Source organism: Homo sapiens, chromosome 1 (assembly GCF_000001405.40).
Source record: "Homo sapiens chromosome 1, GRCh38.p14 Primary Assembly".
Classification (NCBI taxonomy): domain Eukaryota; kingdom Metazoa; phylum Chordata; class Mammalia; order Primates; family Hominidae; genus Homo; species Homo sapiens.
The window spans coordinates 223,311,319-223,330,986 of NC_000001.11; the positions used below are offsets into that span (position 1 = coordinate 223,311,319).

Sequence of the window (19,668 nt, forward strand, 5' to 3'; positions counted from 1 at the left end):
TTCCCAAAACAAATATCTTTCTCTCTGGTTTTAGCCTGAACACTACCTGGAGGATAAAAGGAAATGCTACATATGATGTAAGTGCTCTCCAGGCAGCCTGTGCTGCTGCTGAACAGCTTTGCTTCCAAAATAATGATAATAATACTAATAATGACAATCACAGTCACTAAAGGGCAGGGAGGTATTGGCCCTTTTTATCTGCAGATTTCTATCCTAATTTACGGTTTAAGTGGCATGTTACAGTAGTGACGGAGGTAGATGGTGTTTGTGAATAGCCAAATATGGGAATAAACTCATGTAAGATGAGTGCAAGAAAAAAATTGCAAACAGATTCTTGTTTATACAGAAATAGGCTCAGATTTTTTATTGTTTGTTTTTCTTGCAAAACATTATAAATCCTCAAACCTCTACAACATAGAAGCAAATAAGTCTTCCTTTCTCTAGTGTCGAAATGCAGACTGTACTATCATTATAGGGCAGAAAACAAAACAAAACAGAAAAATCTGCACTGAGAACTTAGGTGAAACAGGGGCTTGCATTGTATCTGTCTGTGTCCTTTCATTGCTGAGAGCAGTGTAGAACTTTACGCTCCAGGATTCAGCTGTTTGCTGATTTGCTCTAAACTCAATTCATTTTCTAATTTCATCTCTTTGATGTTATTCCAGTGAGAAGCCTGCAGGTAGTACCTCCACCAGGAAGATATTATTAATTAGCAGCCAACAGGGTGAGCAGAAATCACGTGCTCCATTTGCACAGCTAATGGTTCGGTTCATGAATGGTTCTCAAAATATTTTACACCAGCCAATCTGAAAAAACATATGATTCTGGTTAAATTTAAGGACTCTTGGATCCTGCAGGCCCAGATATTCATACCTTGAGCAGCCATGCAAATGAGAGTGTCATCATTTCAAAGTTCAATAGGAAGAAAATGAAGCAGCTGCTATTTAATTTTTTATGGAGCCTACAATTTGTCTCATTAGTGGGCAAATAGGACAGGCTGGGAACTAAAAGCTATCTAGGCCTCAACTCTGCAGGACAGAAAAAAAGTGATCTGTATCAAATCACTCACTCGGGCTCCTGGGGATAGGGTTAGACTGGCTGGTGCTGGGGAAAGGGCACCTGGCTCCAAATCCTGGCTGCTAGGCAGGCTCCATCACCTCACTGATACATGACCTTTGGCAAAGTACAGAAGGTTCCAGAGCCTCATGACCGTATCTAAAAACAGAGGAATTTGGAATTACCCTGTCCATCTCTCAGAGCTGTGGAGCACCTGGGAGGCAAGAATCCCTGGTGCTTTGAAAACTCCAAAAGGCTGTTCAAATGCAATTTGAGAATGACCTGGATACCTGGATTGTTAAACTGAGGCCCAAGGGTAGCAGATTTGACTGCAATCACAGAGGTACAGCCCTGAGGCTGGGCTCCCTCATTCAGGATTCAAGGAAAATCCCTACATTCTCTCTCTCTACTCACAGTGTCACCCATCAGCCAGTGAGGCAGATGAGGAAAGGAAGGCTGAAGCCAGCATGTTTCCTAGGTCATTTCCAGCGTAGGAACACAGTGATGTTACCTGGTAACAAGTCATGGCAACTTGCTGATAGAAGTCAAGACACTAAGCAGAGCAAGTCTGGGGAAATAGGCAAGGGGCAAAGAGTCAATAGAGCTCCACTATGTTACAAAGAATTTGGCTGGCCTTGTCCCTGCTTCCGGAGTTTTGTCCAACTCCTTGCAATTTCCTTATAGAAGTATCTTATTATTCATGGCGAACCTTGATAGTTTATGCTCACAAGGTGACTGATGATCTCCAGATAGTTTATGCTAAAGAGGTGACTCAGGATGGGGGCTGGCCATGCCAGAAAGATCAACCATGTGATTAGAGGGTTGGGACTTTGAGTCACATGATCTCAGTCTGACCTCTGACAAGGAGAGGGGGCATGCAGATTGAGTCCAACCACGTGGCTGATGAGTTAATCAATCATGCCTATGTAATGGAGCCTTGGTAGAAACTCTGGACACCAAAGCTTGGGTGAGTCTAGTGATATACGTGGATGTACCAGGAGGGTGATGCATTCTGAGGACATGAAAGATTTGCATTTGGGACCCTCCCAGACCTTATCCTATGTGTGTCTTCTTTGGGATGGTTCTGATTTGCATCCTTTATATCCTATATATCCTTTATCTTCCTGAGTTCTGTGAGTTGTTCTAGTAAATTATGAAACCTGAGGGGGTAGTAGTGTCAGAGGCATTTGAACTAGGGTGACTCCATCTTGAATAGGGGCTGAGTAAATAAGGCTGAGACCTACTGGACTGTATTCCCAGAAGGTTACACATTCTAAGTCACCAGATAAGATAGGAGGTCAGCACAAGGTAAGGTCACAAAAACCTTGCTGATAAAAGAATGCTGTAAAGAAGCTGGCCAAAACCCACCAAAACCAAGATGGCTATGAAAGTGACCTCTGGTCATCCTCACTGCTCATTACACACTAATTATAAGGCATTAATTAGCATGCTAAAAGACACTCCTGCCAGCACCACGGCAGCTTACAAATGCCATGGCAACATCAGCAAGTTACCCCATATGGTCTAAAAAGGAGAGGAACCCTCAGTTCCAGGAATTGCCCACCCCTTCCCGGGAAAACTCACAAATAACACCCCTTATTTAGCATATAATCAAGAAATAACCATAAAAAATAGCCAAACAGCAGCCCTCAGAACTGCCCTGCCTATGGAGTAGCCATTCTTTATTCCTTTACTTTCTTAATAAACTTGCTATCACTTTACTCTATGGATTTGCCTCAAATTCTTTCTTGTGTAAGATCCAAGAATCCTCTCTTGGGGTCCGGATCAGTAACAGCTTTACCATCACGTAGTTCTGTGACTTTATGCCTGTTACTAAACCTTTTCATCTCCCCAAACTCACTCTGGCAAAAGGGGAAAACAATACCTGACACATGGAGTAATGAGGACTGAATGAAATACCACACCAAGTCCTGGATAAACATTCAGTGAGCGGAAATCTGACCTCAGCGGGGTGGCGGAACAGAGCTGAAAGTTACATAGATCTACAACTTGTGTCACATCTAAGACTCAGGGTAGGATGCTCGTTGGTGAGCAGTGATGATGCCATGACCCACACAGACTGGGGGAGACATGAGTGGGACAGAAAGATTTCAAAAATAGGAAGATGAGCTGAAAAGGCTCCATGATAGGGTTTGGCTGTGTCCCCATCCAAATCTCATCTTGGATTGTAGCTCCCATAATTCCCACATGTTATGGGAGGGACCTGGTGGGAGGTCATTGAATCATGGGGGCGGGTCTTTCCCGTGCTATTCTCATCATAGTGAATAAGAGATCTCACGAGATCTGATGGTTTATAAGGGGAGTTTCCTTGCACGAGCTCTCTTCTCTTGTCTACCACCATGTGAGACGTCCCTTTCACCTTCTGCCATGAGTGTGAGGCCTCCCCAGCCATGTGGCACTGTGAGTCCATTAAACCTCTTTCTTTTGTAAATTGCCCAGTCTCAGGTATGTCTTTAACAGCAGCATGAAAACAAACTAATACACTCCAGAAATCTTATCTGACAGTGTCTGATGAGATCTCTATCTGCCGAGAATTTTCTCCCCTAGAACAAAGATTGTGTCTTTCAGGCTCTGCCTCAGATGGGAAAGAGGAGGCTGAGGGAGTGGAGCTCTGAGACCACTACTTAATTTATATTTTCTATACTAGAGTTCTATAACCACCTTTGCAAAATGATGACAGTAGAAGAAATCTGTCATGGCTGACCCCATCTTGCTTCTAGTCTTACAGGCTGGCTGTCTTTGCTCATTCCTGGGTGTAAGCCAAGCTATGTTTGGGAGACATTTAGTTTATAGTTTAAATGATAGCGGGTCTTCCCCCAAAGCTTAACTGCCTTTGCAGAGCTAATGAAGGGCCATCAGGTTAGGAGGACGTTAGAAGGTTGAATTCTGCTAAAGTGTAGACATAAACCATTACCAGCCATTATTCTGGAGGTCAGAAGATACCTTCTCTAATTACTCAACTTCTCTAATTACTCCTGCAGATAACGTCACTATTGCAGAACCTAAGATTGGTCTTTTGAGATGGCTTTTCAGGTTTTTGCATTTCTGACTACCAATGGCTCCAACTGGACCCGCGGACTCCGCCAACTGGTCCTGTGGCCCCACCCACAAGCAGACTCCCTGGCCCGCCAAACTATCGTTGAAAAACCCTAGCGTCTGCATTTTCAGAGAGATTGATTTGAGTAATAACACCAACTTCCATGTAGCACAGCTGGCCTTCTGACTATTAAACGCTTTCTTTATCGCATTGCCGTGGTCTGGTTTTGTCTATGCAGGGAGAAGGAAGAATCCATCAGATGGCTACAATTCCAGGTAAAATTCATCTGAAAAAAAAATTTTTCCGCTATTTCTCTTTAAGTTGGTCTCAGAGAACAGATCTGATCACTACGGCAGCTGCTCCTCAGCACCTGAGCCTGAGTTTCAAGAATTAGACATCAAAGTTAAAGTGACAAGCCCTTGGGAGGAAGAGACTGCTGATTAGAAGTCTTGATTGCAAGGGAAGGGGATGCTAGACATATACAGTCTGTCTTAGAAGCCTACATTTACAATGGCAGGTTTTCAAAAGGTCAAAGAAAAACAGGGCTGATTCTATAGTGTGACTCTAGAAGAAAAGGGGACACACAAGTGTTGAGAAGCTCTGCCACCCATGGAAAGTGGCTCAGATGTGAGACCTGCATACAAAGCCTGCAAGGAAGGGCACCAAGGTGATCAAGGATGCAGAGAGGTGCAGCGGGGGCTGGCAAGGAGAATAACAGGGCAGAAGAGAGGCTGCAACCCAAAATGACTTGGGAAAATCTTAAGCACCCAAAAAAGGTAGGGGCATGGGGATGGAGAGAAACTTCATTGGTGCATTTATCCAGAAATCAGTTGCTGGCACAAGGCCAGCCACTTCTGGGGAGAAGTGAGGGAGAATATCTCTCCTTTTTATAGCATTCTGATGGGGGTGCCGAAATAATACTGCCTTGCTGCATCCCATGGCTTACAGGGTTATCGCTAGGAATGGCTCCTTCAGTCTTCAAGCTCCTCTCCACTCTCCTCCACACTCCTGGCCACATGGGAACCTGGAGGAAGGGGGTTGGAACAAAGCCAGGACAGACACCAAGCAGGACTGGACGTTTCTCCTCACCCCTGACAACTGCCCCTGGAGAAGCCCGTTGACCTGCCTCCTCCTTCTCTGAAGATGAGTCTGTCCCAGAATGCTCCCCCATTCAAAAGGACTTCTGCCAGGTCCAGGATGGAACTACTAGGTCAGAACCATGCCCAGTGGAGGGCAAAAGGGAGGCTGAGCTGGGGCTCACATTCACACACCCATTTTATAACCAAGGAGACAGAGGCTCAGAGAAGTCAAGTAATTTGCCCAAGGTCCCCAAGTTAGTAGGTCACAGGGCAGGATCCAAATGCAGGTCTGTCTGGCCCCCTCCGCCTCCCTGCACAACCGTCCCTAGAGGCCTTAACTGTAGGATCTGGTTGGCCAAAGAAGGCAAGAGAGGGTGTCTGAGGCAAGGAGAGGCACCTAGGAGAGGAGGGGGGCCTTGGAGATGACGATGAGTCTGGCAGCGCAGACCTTGTAAAGGCATCATCAACCAGAGGTTAGGCTGATGGAAGTGTCAGAGGTATGTGAACCAGAGCAACTCCATCTTGACTAGGAGCTGGATAAAATGAGACTGAAACCTACTGGGCTGCATTCCCAGATGGTTAAGGCATTGTAAGCCACAGGATGACATAAGAGGTCAGCACAAGATATAGGTCATAAAGACCTTGCTGATAAAACAGGTGGCAGTAAAGAAGCCAGCTAAAACCCACCAAAACCAAGATGACGACAAGAGTGGTCTCTGGTCATCCTCACTGCTACACTCCGACCAGTGCCATGACAGTTTACAAATGCCATGGCAACATCAGAAAGTTATCCTATATGGCCTTAAAAGGGGAAGCATGAATAATCCACCCCTTATTTAGCATAAAATCAAGAAATAACCATAAAAATGGGCAACCCGCCCCTCTTGGCTGCTGTGTCTATGGAGTAGCCATTCTTTTATTCCTCTTGCTTTCACTTTACTCTATGGACTCTCCCTGAATTCTTTCTTGCATGAGACTCAAGAACCCTCTTTTGGGGTCCGGATTGGGACCCCTTTCCTGGAACAGGTGAAGGCCTTCAGGTCAAGCAGCAGAGTCTTTGGACGTTCTTGTGTCTCAACCTGGTCCTGGAAGTACTTTGTTTTGAAATTGCATTTAGTCTTTCAGAAAGTCCTCAAGAAACTTGGGTAAATGGTCTTTGCCAACAGTTCATATTTCTCTTTTACTCCCAAAAGGAAATTTATTATTATATTTATGATTATTATTAAATCAATGTCTCTCATGAGGCCAGGAAGCCCATTTGCTCCAGATTCGCTGCCCTGAGTTGCCCTGACTTCACTGGGAGCTCGTCAATGCTTGCCCTTCTTTTTTTTTTTTTTTTCTTTTTTTTTTTTTTTTTTATTATACTCTAAGTTTTAGGGTACATGTGCACATTGTGCAGGTTAGTTACATATGTATACATGTGCCATGCTGGTGCGCTGCACCCACCAACGTGTCATCTAGCATTAGGTATATCTCCCAATGCTATCCCTCCCCCCTCCCCCGACCCCACCACAGTCCCCAGAGTGTGATATTCCCCTTCCTGTGTCCATGTGATCTCATTGTTCAATTCCCACCTATGAGTGAGAATATGCGGTGTTTGGTTTTTTGTTCTTGCGATAGTTTACTGAGAATGATGGTTTCCAATTTCATCCATGTCCCTACAAAGGACATGAACTCATCATTTTTTATGGCTGTATAGTATTCCATGGTGTATATGTGCCACATTTTCTTAATCCAGTCTATCATTGTTGGACATTTGGGTTGGTTCCAAGTCTTTGCTATTGTGAATAGTGCCGCAATAAACATACGTGTGCATGTGTCTTTATAGCAGCATGATTTATAGTCCTTTGGGTATATACCCAGTAATGGGATGGCTGGGTCAAATGGTATTTCTAGTTCTAGATCCCTGAGGAATCGCCACGCTGACTTCCACAATGGTTGAACTAGTTTACAGTCCCACCAACAGTGTAAAAGTGTTCCTATTTCTCCACATCCTCTCCAGCACCTGTTGTTTCCTGACTTTTTAATGATTGCCATTCTAACTGGTGTGAGATGATATCTCATAGTGGTTTTGATTTGCATTTCTCTGATGGCCAGTGATGATGAGCATTTCTTCATGTGTTTTTTGGCTGCATAAATGTCTTCTTTTGAGAAGTGTCTGTTCATGTCCTTCGCCCACTTTTTGATGGGGTTGTTTGTGAAAATGGCCATACTGCCCAAGGTAATTTACAGATTCAATGCCATCCCCATCAAGCTACCAATGACTTTCTTCACAGAATTGGAAAAAACTACTTTAAAGTTCATATGGAACCAAAAAAGAGCCCGCATCGCCAAGTCAATCCTAAGCCAAAAGAACAAAGCTGGAGGCATCACACTACCTGACTTCAAACTATACTACAAGGCTACAGTAACCAAAACAGCATGGTACTGGTACCAAAACAGAGATATAGATCAATGGAACAGAACAGAGCCCTCAGAAATAATGCCGCATATCTACAACTATCTGATCTTTGACAAACCTGAGAAAAACAAGCAATGGGGAAAGGATTCCCTATTTAATAAATGGTGCTGGGAAAACTGGCTAGCCATATGTAGAAAGCTGAAACTGGATCCCTTCCTTACACCTTATACAAAAATCAATTCAAGATGGATTAAAGATTTAAATGTTAGACCTAAAACCATAAAAACCCTAGAAGAAAACCTAGGCATTACCATTCAGGACATAGGCGTGGGCAAGGACTTCATGTCCAAAACACCAAAAGCAATGGCAACAAAAGCCAAAATTGACAAATGGGATCTAATTAAACTAAAGAGCTTCTGCACAGCAAAAGAAACTACCATCAGAGTGAACAGGCAACCTACAACATGGGAGAAAATTTTCGCAACCTACTCATCTGACAAAGGGCTAATATCCAGAATCTACAATGAACTCAAACAAATTTACAAGAAAATGCTTGCCCTTCTTAATACAAGATGAACGAGTCCAGCAGGCTCTGTCCCTCTCAGCAGGCTGGGTTAATAACCTGCTCACAATACACCCCCTTAATCCACTCCTGGGTCATCTTCATCTACCCAAAGGACACACTGAAAATTCACCAACACACCAACATGAGACAACAGGAAACACAAGACAGACTGGTTTTCACAGGTAGGAGGGAATACAGCGGCCCTTTCAATAGGACCAGCTTCTTTTCTGGGGGCATGTTTCTTCTTGCTGAATTTTAATCCACGGTTTCTTTATGTTTGTCAATGAAATCAAAAGTTTCACACTGACACTTCCAACTAGCAAAGAAAGTAATGCTTAGGAGCATGCTTCCCCTCCCTTACCTTTTTCACTGCAGAACTATTGGTAGGAGGGGTGGATGGTGGAAAAGGCAAGGGCTCGAAGCCAATCAGATCTGGGTTCAAATCCAGTCGTACCACTTATTAGGAAGGTGGTCTTGGCTGGACAAGTTACTTTCCTCCTATGACTCCATTTTCTCATCAGCGAAGCCAGGTGAACACCCACGGCATTGTGATAAGGATTAGAAGTGCTCCTAAGAGCTGGCACAATGCCTGATGCAGGGACGCCTCCTAAGCCCTCCCGAAGCTTCCCTTTGTTCTTGCTCATCCAGGAGAGATTTCTTTGTTAAATGATTTCTTCTGGGAGTTACACTTTTGTCCTTTAAAAAAAAAGTAGGTGAATGTAGAAAAAGCAACTTTTACCTCCTCTCTCTCTGTCCCCAACATCTCAATAAATATCGCACATCTAAAAGAGACAGCAGTGCAGTATTTGCCCTGTTCTGTTTGTAATGTGACGACATCATCAGGGGAGGGAAGGTGGGTATGGGGTGGTCCTTAAGAAGTGCTGTGCCTGTGAGCTGAAATGCACTCAGCATGTAGAACAAGACCAGGACACTAGGCGCTCCCTCTGGGCCTGAGCTAGCTGCTCTCCTTCCACACAGGCATACCCTGGGTGGTTGTGTCCCTCCGCTTCTCGGGGTGTTGCACAGAGGCCCCCAAGGACATCTGGCTAAACACGGGTAGCAGAAGTGGGGGCAATGGGTTTGTCTGCTAACATCAACATCTTCCTTGAGTGGAACAGAGCAAGGGGGCAGCAGACACACAGAAAGAATTCCTACAAAAGAAAATAAAGGAAGCTGTGGGATCCAGTACCCTGCAGCTCACACAGGAAGAGGGACACCTCTCTTTAGTCTGAGAGTCTCAGAGCACTACTGTTACAAAAGTATGTTTTCTTGCTCAATGCCCTGAGCTCAGGAAGGGCCGTCCCAGGACAGTGCCTCATCTCCACAAGCCCCAAGCTGAGGACCTGGCTCCACTAACAACTCTGTCATTCACAAATTTGTCCCAATCCTTTTTGAAACTAGTTAAATTGCACCTGGCCTTCTGTGTGAAGTGGTATTTCCTTTAAGTTTTTTCTAGATTTACTTCTTGCAAGTTTCAAAGGTACTACCCTCATTCTAATAGCCTCTCATTCCACATGTGGCATGATCTTCCGAATTTCAATCCTGACCTCTCTCATGCCTCACCTGTCCAGACCAAAGAGTCCTAGTGTTCACAGGTGTCTTTTCAGTGACAGCCCGCTTCTCATCTGATCAGGCCATTGCCCTACTCCACAAGACGTGCCCACTCTCTGAAAGAAACGCTGACACTGCACAGCCAGTGAAAAGCAGAGACAGGCCTACTCCAGGCTCAGGTACCAGACCTGAGGGCTCCTTCCTGCTTTTCTTCAGCATTTTGGGAGGCAGTACACGGCAAAGACAGATGCAGAGACCTGCATGCGATCCTGACTCAGTCCATTTCTAGCTGTGTGACTTGGGGCAAGTCAATGAACCTCTTTAGGTCTCAGTTTTCTCATCTATAAAATGGAGATAATAAAGCACTTACTGGCCAGGGCTGTTACGAGGTTTAAAGGAGATATTCTATGTAGCTCACTGAGAACTCTGCCTGGTCCATGGTAAGTAATCAATATCTGTTATTATCTTCACCATCACCCAGTGCCCTTCATCTCTTCTGGGGAGAATTTGCTGACTTCTCTGGGCAGCATGTGTTTCTTCCTTTGTCCCTTTCTAATGCCATGTTTCTATCACTAGCGTAGAACTTACCTTGTTGCTGGAATCATGTGTTTGTGGATCCAATGAAACCAGGTATTCTAAATCTTTTTGAACCATGGATGCCTTTGGCAATCTGGTGAAGCACATGGACCCTTTCAAAATAATGTTTTTAAATGCATAAAATAAAAAGCATAGTATTATGAAGGAAACTGGTTATACTGAAATATAGTTATCAAAATATTTTTTAAACAGATCTGTGATATGGCAGTATGTGTGCTTCTTTATTAAAACATCAAATAACGTTTACTTTGGGTCTAATACGGGTAGAGTATCTCTTATCTAAAACTCCTGGGACCAGAAGTGTTTCAGACTTCAAATGTTTTCAGATTTTGGAATATTTACAGTATAGTTACCGATTGAGCATCCCAAATCCCAAAATCCAAAACCCAGAACACTCCAATGAGCATTTCCTTTGAGCATCAGGTCAGCACTCAAAAAGTTTTGGGTTTCAGAGCATTTTGGATTTCGGATTTCCGGATTGGAGATGCTTAGCCTGTAATAACACTAATTGATGATATGAGATTGTGAGATATTTATAACAACTGTGGGCGATACGAAAATATCTGTGACTCCTACAGGTGACAGAGTCACAGGTACTGCTCAGCTTACTCTAGTCAATTTCCTACCTCCAGAAGAAAAGGAAATGTTAAACTTTGGTTAGAGATTAGTAAAATTAAAAGGTAAATTGTTTTCTCATCTAAGCTCACAGACCTCTTGAATTCTGTTGAGAACCTTGAGGCAGACTGTGAGTTTCTAAGAGTTCGTGTCCTATTTATCTAACTTCAGTGTCAAGCATAGAGCATGGTACACAGGAAAGACCTAACACATCGATTTTTCAATTAATGAATTTAGGACATTGTGCCAGGTGCTACAAAACAGACAAGGCTCCTGCCCTCTAGAAGCTAAAATCTGTACACAAATAATTGTGATATAAGATAAGAGGTGGCAAATGCCATGAGGTAGGAGATTAGAAGGGTAGGCAGCCCTGGGGTGTGTGTGTGTGTATGGTGAGTGTGTGGTGTGTGCATGTGTGTCTGTTGACATGTAGGTACGTGTGTGTGTGCATATGCATGCGAGGCGGGGAGCAGAAGACTGCAATGGGAACAGTGCATTCACCAAATTATCTTGAAATTATTCGTCATGAATCTAACCCCCTGACTAGGGTAAGCTTTTCATGGACAGAGACCATGTGTTATTTATGCTTAGGCAACAGGCATGGTATTTTGAAAATATTAAACTGATATGTTTTTCATTCCCTTATAATCATGCTCCCTGCAGCCTTTACACAATTACAGCTAAGCCTTTCCCCAAGGAAGAAAAGCAGAGCACTGAGGAAGGCCACAGAGGAAAGCAGGATATGATGGAGAAAGGGTAGCACCTGCCTCCACAGGCAGAGGAAGCAGACGGCCCTTCCAGTTTCGCCTTTAGGTAGAGACTGAAAGAAGAGAGAAAGGAGGTGCTGAAGAGCAGTGCTGGGGAGCATGTTCCTGCTCCTCCTCTCTTAGGGGCTGATCTCACAATGACGGAGGGTGAAGGGAGTGAGGGAGAGTGACAAAAAGGAAGGAGGAAGGAAGGAGGGGGATGGAAGGAAAGAGGAAAAGAAGGAAGGGAGAGAGGGAGGGATGGAAGGAAAGAGGAAAAGAAGGAGGAAAAAAGGAGAAGAGAGGTTAAGTGAAGAAGCTAAAAGCTGTTTTCTGCATCCCTTTGAGATTATGGGTGCATGAAACCAGCATGCAAATGCCTCCACATCAACATGAGATGTCCCCAGTAGACAGAAAATGGTGGTGTGTAGAGTTCTGATCAACAGGGGCCCCAGAGAGCACTCACAAGAGTCACTTGACTTCCATGTGGCATGCAAGGATCCAATGAGAGACATGTAATAGAGCTGAAGATTGAGGGTGGAAGGGTCCAGCCATGAGGCTGCCATGGAGACAGGGATGGGGGCTTCATAGCTAAATGGCAGGGTAGACCACCCAGGCCAGGTACAGGATGCAGGGTGAGGCCAAGACTCAGAGGGTAGAGACCAGTCTGCCAGTGACTGTGCCAAGAGACCTCAAGACTGAGTCACAGTAGCTGTGAACTCCAGCCCTGAATGCCAGCAGGATGCATGATGACAAAAGGGCAAGGACTCAGGAGAAGCACTCAAGGCCAGGATGCTCTGGCCCACTGCTATGAGGACATCGAGGCTTCCTCTACTCCAGATGCCATTTAAGAAGGAGGGCAAAGGGAGAACATCTGAGAAGCAGAAACAACCCAGATAGAAAGTCTGAACCTGGAATCAATCTGCCCAATTATTTTAAAAAAAAAGAGACCTTAACTGAAGCAGCTAATTTAGCTTATGGGAAATACATTTAAGGGGTCTTTCACCATCTGTGGATGTGAGGTTTCATTGCCACATGAAAAGCCACAGGAAGTAAAGAGCACATGTATTTCTTATCTTTACTTTTTGGCACATCCGACTGACTGCAATGCATAAGTTTCAACTTTCCTCCATCCCTCCACATCCCATTGTAATTCCAGTATCTAGTATGGCATCAGGCACATAGTGGGCATGCAGTAAATGCTTATGAAGATGAGCTCAGCCTAGGTACACAGGAAGCAATGACAAGTGACAGCTAACAGATGGCCATGAAGAGAAAGGAAAACAAAACACAGAATCAAAGACATAAGGGCTGTGACAAAGGCAGAGTGTCTTGGGGCCATTGGGTGTATGGGCAAATGGCTGCTGTGACTGTCATCCATTGGCTGCTAGAATCACTTCATAGTGACTGTTCACAATGAAGACCCAAGACACCAATATTTAAGGAGGCAGGAAAATACATATTTACAAAGATTCCCATCCAAAATGGTTACTTTAAAAAGGTATCTTAAAAGCTTAAAACATAGCTCATAATAATATTAATTTCCACAGAACTTACCACTCCTCCAAAGATGCTGGATCAGTAAGACACAAATGCACTTTGCTTCTCCTCTCTCAAGATCAGTCTGGAAATGCAGTTATCTCCCTTTCCAGGATCTATTTCCATGTGACCCTTCATGGATACCCAGCTTTATCTAGTAGGGCAGCAAACTTTCTTAGAGGGGCCTGCAGACTTCCTTTAGATGGACGAGATACCACCCACAACAGCACTTGGGAGGGTAAAGGCTGAATCAGGTCCCTTCATGAATGAGGAAAGAGGAGGCAATGGACACTGATGGGTACAAGCAGCAGGCAGAGCCTAACTCTAACTGCATCTGCTGTTCTCACTAGCAGGGTCTTTATTTGTAAACACGTACTCACATTTCCCCCACCTCCTACCTAAGATCAATGCACCGTACTCCAGGAAGGGGTACTTTACTTGTGTTTCTCTCTGATACCCACTCCACAATGCAGTTGAGATGGGCTTATGACTCTTCTGCCTTCATTTTGCCAAGTGGGGGAAGAAACCAAGGCATTTGGAAATTCTTATGATTTGGTTAGGTCATACCCAGCCAGGACTGGAACGAAAGCCAGTTCTCATTATGTAGCTTGGCATCAGTATCCCTTCTCTCCTGTCTTCCCCCAAAGAAAAGAAAAACTTTGCAGTGTGCTGAGGTCTTTATTTAAACAAGAAGCAAACAAAAAATAACCCCAAGCAAATTAAAAAATAAAAATTTCCAAATAATACCATCATTTTTTCCCCATGAGCCATGAGAAGAAATTCAGAAAAGACATGATTCTAACAGAAATATATCGAGAGTGATGGGGAGATTAATTTTGGAAGTTATGGTAATTCTACCAAATTCCAAGGAAAGAAAATTCATAATTCATATCAAGCTTCATCAACATACATAATGTTCTGTAAACCAGGTTTAATTCATCCTATGGTTTCACCCATTCACCACAAAGAACAAGAGAAAATGACTTTCCCAAGCAAGAGCAATTAGGCAAGAGAAAGAAAGGGGGCATCCAAATTGGAAAAGAGGAAGTCAAACTATCCCCATTTGCAGATGATATTATCATATATCTAGAAAACCCTGAAGACTCTTCCAAAAGACTTCTAGATTTGATAAACAAATTCAGTAAAGTCTCAGGTTACAAAATCAATGTACACACATCAGTAGCACTGCTATACACCAACAATGACCAAGCTGAGAATCAAATCAAGAACTCAATTTTTTTTACAACAGCTGCAAACAACAACAAAACCTAGAAATATACTTAACCAAGGAGGTGAAAGATCTCCCTACGGAGAACTATAAAACACTGCTGAAAGAAATCATAGATAGCATAAACAAACAGAAACATATCCCATGCTCATGGATGGGAGGAATCAATACTGTGAAAATGACTACACTGCCCAAAGCAATCTACAGATTCTATGCAATGCCCATCAAAATACCAAAATCATTTTTCACAGAATTAGAAAAAACAATCCTAAAATTCATATGGTACCAAAAAAGAGCCCAGCATAAAGAACAAATCTGGAGGCATAACATTACCAGACCTCAAATTATACTACAAGGGTGTAGTTACCAAAACAGCATGGTACTGGTATAAAAATAGGCACATAGACCAATGGAACAGAATAGAGAAACCAGAAATAAAGCCAAATACGTACAGCCAACTGATCTTCAACAAGGCATACAAAAACATAAACTGGGGAATGGACACCATATTTAGTAAATGATGCTGGAAAAACTGGCAAGCCACATGTGGAAAAATGAAACTGGATACTTACCTCTTACCTTATACAAAAACCAACTCAAGATGGATGAAAGATTTAAAGACCTGAAACCATAAAAATTCTAGAAAACAACATTGGAAAAACTTTTCTAAACATCAGCCTAGGCAAAGAATTCATGACTAAGACCCCAAAAGCAAATGCAACAAAAACAAAAATAAATAAATGGGACTTAATTAAACTAAAGAGCTTCTGTACAGCAAAAGAAATAATAACCAGAGTAAACAGACAATCCACAGAATGAAAGAAAATATTTGCAAACTACGCATCTGACAAAGGACTAGTAGCCAGAATCTACAAGAAACTCAAACAAATCCGCAAGAAAAAAACAAACAATCCTATTAAAAAGTGGGCAAAGGAAATGAATAGATATTTCTCAAAAGAAGATATACAAATGGCCAACAAACATGAAAAAATGCTAAACATCACCAATCATCAGGGAAATGCAAATTAAAATCACAATGAGATACCACCTTACTCCAGCAAGAATGGCCATTACTAAAAAGTCAAAAAACAATTGATGTTGGTATGGATGTGGGAAAAAGGGAATGACATACTGCTAGTGAAAATGTAAACTAGTATAACCTCTATGGAAAACAGTATGGAGATTCCTTAAAGAGCTAAAAGTAGATCTACCATTCAATCCGGCAATCCCACTACTGGGCATCTACCCAAAGGAAGATGAGTCATTATATGAAAAAGACACTTGTACATGTATGTTTATAGCAGCACAATTCACAATTGCAAAAATATGGAACCAACCCAAGTGTCCACTGATTAAAGAAAATATTGCATATATACACCATGGAATACTACTCTGCCATGTAAAGGAACAAAATAATGTCTTTGCAGCAACTTGGATGGAGCTGGAGGCCATTATTCTAACTGAAGTAAGACAGCAGTGAAAGACCAAAAACAGTATGTTCTCACTTATAAGTAGGAACTAAGCTATGAGTACTCAAAGGCATACATTGATATAATGGACTTTGGAGACTCAGAAGTGGGAGGAGACTGGGAGTAGGGAATAGGGATAAAAAACTACATATTAGGTACAATGTACATGACTCAGCTGATGGGTACACTAAAATATCAGAATTCACCACTATAAAACTCATCCATGTAACAAAAGATCCACTTGTAACACAAAAGCTACTGAAATAAAAATGTTTTAAAAACAAAGAAAATGACCTTCCTATTACATGATTCAAACCTGACTGTGTGACCCTGCCATGCTTGGGGCCACAAGGCTAAAGGAGCTCCTGGAGAAAGGCCCTAGATTCTACAAACTCCACAGTTCCGATAACCCAGCAAGGGGCACAAGGCCACTTCTGGCCCATAGGGAGCCTTCAAGCATTTAGAAAAAGGCAGACACAATTCCAGGTCAGGGCCCCGGCATGGCCCAGGCATAATGAGCAAAGCATCTCCTCACCTGGCACCTTGGGCCAGGTGCCATCTGCCTAACCCTATCACAGGCAGTTGTCACCCGCCTCAGAAATTCGTTAAGAGGTTGCATTTAAGTACAAAATCTCCTTGGTCAAACCCTCTAATCATTTGGAAAGCAGCAATGTGTAGAAAATATATCTTCCTGAAGGGTGATGTCTTGCTTGGCTCTGATCCCCAGGAAAGAGTACAGTAGGGAGAAGAGAGATCCCAACACCGGTCTCCAATCTCTTTATCCACAAAGGCAACCTTTTCTTCCATACTCAAGAGTGGAGAAAGAGCACTACAGGGGTAATGTCATCTGTCATTCCTAATTAGTGTTCTCTAAAAAAAAAAAAAAGTTTTTAAAAGAATATTGGCATCTTTCAACTCTGTTATTAGACATAATAATCACAATGTCAACATGTCCAAGCATGACTATTAGTAACAACATCTTACATTTGTTGGACTCATGTTTTATAAAGGGCTCTCCAGTACAGCATCTCACTTAATCCTTCCTATTCGGTCCTTACAGCCTCTATTTTAAAGATAAGGAAGCCGGGGCTCTGAGATGTTAACTGGCTTGCTTAAGGTCTCACAGTAGGTGGCAGAGCCAGGACTAAGCCCCACCAGTCCCCTTCCTCCTCTCTGGCCATCCAATTCTCTGGGCAGGGTTGCCTGAATTGCTCTGAAGATAGAATACACCTATTCTGTTCTTGAGAAGTTCTCAATTCTTCTGGTGAGACTTTTCAGTGACTTCTCCCTGTCAAAAGGTACCTCTGTGTTTATTTTTCCACCTGACTGCCCACACCATTCAAGGACACAGTATTACCATCCAGGTGAAGAAAGACAATGCTCGCTGTTGCCTCTGCCGCTCATCAAGCGCCTCCCAAGCCTCTCATTATTTCCCCAAGTTCTGATTTTAGGAGTGTCTGCAAAGCTTCCTGGCTTGTGTCGACCTGATTCAGCCAATACTACCAGACCCATGTGTCAGCAGCTACACCTCAGGGGCAGGCTCTGCTTCCTTGGCTGGTAGACCAGCTGGCACCTCAGAATCCATCAGGGTTTCTGCCACTCAGGGTTAAATTTGGCTCCCTAGTGGAGGCAAGTCCTGGCTGTATTGTCCCTACCATGACTCCACAAACTTTAATTTTGGCCTGGAGTTTTATGACTATTAGCACCATTCTCCATCCACAAGACTTCCAAATCTCTCTGTCACTGGACAGCTTAGGGCCAAGAAAGCAAAAATTAGTCACTGTGTTCAGTCCTGCCCAACAACTTTCAGTTGTGCAAAGTTGATGACCCCGTCCTAAGACTCAGACATCCTACTGCCTCCCTCCACCAGCATCTCCCCTTCCTCTCCAGCTCCCTGACCTCTCTGTGGGTAATTCTCACTTTAATTCACAGCTTTATCAACGGGCATAAACAAGAGGGAGAATGGGGGGCTTTGAAGTCCAGTATTGTATTTATCATCATGGAGAAGGCTGAAACTCACATGTAGATAAAATTTGGGATTATCAATGGCCTTCATTTCTACTCAAGTTGTCCTATTCTTGATCAATAATGAACAAGGATATAGCTGTGAGTTGTCTGCTCTGACTTAATAATTTATCATCTCATTCCAAAAACACTTTTGCCTGAAATTGCCCTGCCTTTCCCCATATGTGCACTCTCTAAGTGCAAGCCCAATGTCCCTTTTCCCAAAGTTCTAACTTTCCCTCCTCTAGCTTTTCCCAGCATTCCACCTACACATTCCTTTTTGCTTTCTCTATTTTATAGTCATTTGTGTTCTGTGTTCATCTCTGCCTCTAAGCTCCTGAAAGGCACACACTCCTGATTTGGCTCTGCATCCCTAAAGTTCTTACTTCTGGGCCTTTCACAGGCATGGAGCTCAGTGAAAGATAACTTAATGAATGGACAGATGGACAGAACAATGGATGGATGAACATATGGACAGATGGATGGATGAACGATAGCACTGGAGTTCAGTGAAAATGACATAGTGAATGGACAGATGAACAGAAGGATGGATGGATGAACAGATAGAGAGATGAATAGATAAATGAATGGATGGATGGATGGATGGATGATTGGATGAATGGAAGAACAGATGGACAGATGGATGGATGGATGGCTGAATGGCAGTATAGATGAATGGATGGATGAACAGATGGACAGATGAATGAATGGATGGATAAATGGATGAATAGATGAACAAACGGAAAGATGGACGGATGACTGGACAGACAAATGTGTGGATGGACAGGTGGATGAATGGCAGTATAGATGGATGGATAATAAGTGTATAGATGGAAGGAGGGAAGAAGGGACATTCTCTTCATGCATGCTACTACAACCTCCTCTCCTTTTGTATTTCTTTGGGAAAGCAACTCGCATTCATTCTCATTATCACACTCATTTGATTCCTAAGCACGTTCTCAGCTGGGGAGGTTTTGCAATTTCTCTACTGCCACCACTAAATTAAAAGCACACTGGCATACTGTAGCAAGGGAAAGCTATAAAAGGTCCAAAACTTGAAGGGCTAGATTTCCAGCTAAACCACAATCCACATATCACTGTTCTCACTCATATTTAAGAAATAAAAGTTTTCTGTTTGGAAAATTCCCCAGGCCTTTCTTCTCTCACCTGCTTAATATGCCTTCCAAGTTCTGCTGGAATATCTTTATTCTTTCCTAAAACTCTCATTGCCTATTTTCATCAAATTTTAAGTCATAAGTAAGAAGATTCAGAAAACAACAAACGAGAAAATAAAGTCCACACAAAGAAAAACAAAACAGGTTAGTCGATGGCAAAAGGAATATCTGCCAATAACAACACCATTTGTCTTAGTTACTGCTTTTAACTTGCTCTCTCTCCTGGCATTAATAGAAATAAAACTGCATGTCTCCGGCCTCATGCAGCTAATGTACAGTTAGCACCCCAGGCAACAGGAGCCACAGAGTTCAAGTACAGTGGAGACAAATTCAAGTAAACAGATTGTAGACACAATTGATTGCAGCATTTAGTTCCATGGCACTATTCACCATAGCTGGTGGGTTTCATGTAAAAACAAGGGAGTCTCATGGTGGGACAGCCCCATGTAGTCAGCTAGGGCCTCCACATCACAGAAGTATTCACCTATCAGAACTAGAAGATGGAAGGATGGCAGAGAGAAGGGAACAGAAAGCTGTCAAGTGGTGATTTGGGACCTCTGTCCTAATAAAAATGCCTTGTACTTA

The 19,668-nt window shown here is 43.1% G+C and overlaps 1 protein-coding gene across 13 annotated transcripts in view, besides 1 other annotated feature; it reads right to left on the reverse strand.

Moving 5' to 3' along the window:
- Positions 1–19,668, reverse strand: part of SUSD4 (sushi domain containing 4) — a 144,405-nt gene that overhangs the window by 90,488 nt on the left and 34,249 nt on the right. The window lies entirely within an intron of this gene.
- Positions 8,929–9,223: a silencer, noted in NCBI's record as "tiled region #8379; K562 Repressive non-DNase unmatched - State 13:Ctcf". NCBI's record gives its function as "represses a minimal TATA promoter and a strong SV40 promoter by Sharpr-MPRA in K562 cells {active_cell/tissue: K562}" and the evidence as "EXISTENCE:reporter gene assay evidence [ECO:0000049][PMID:27701403]".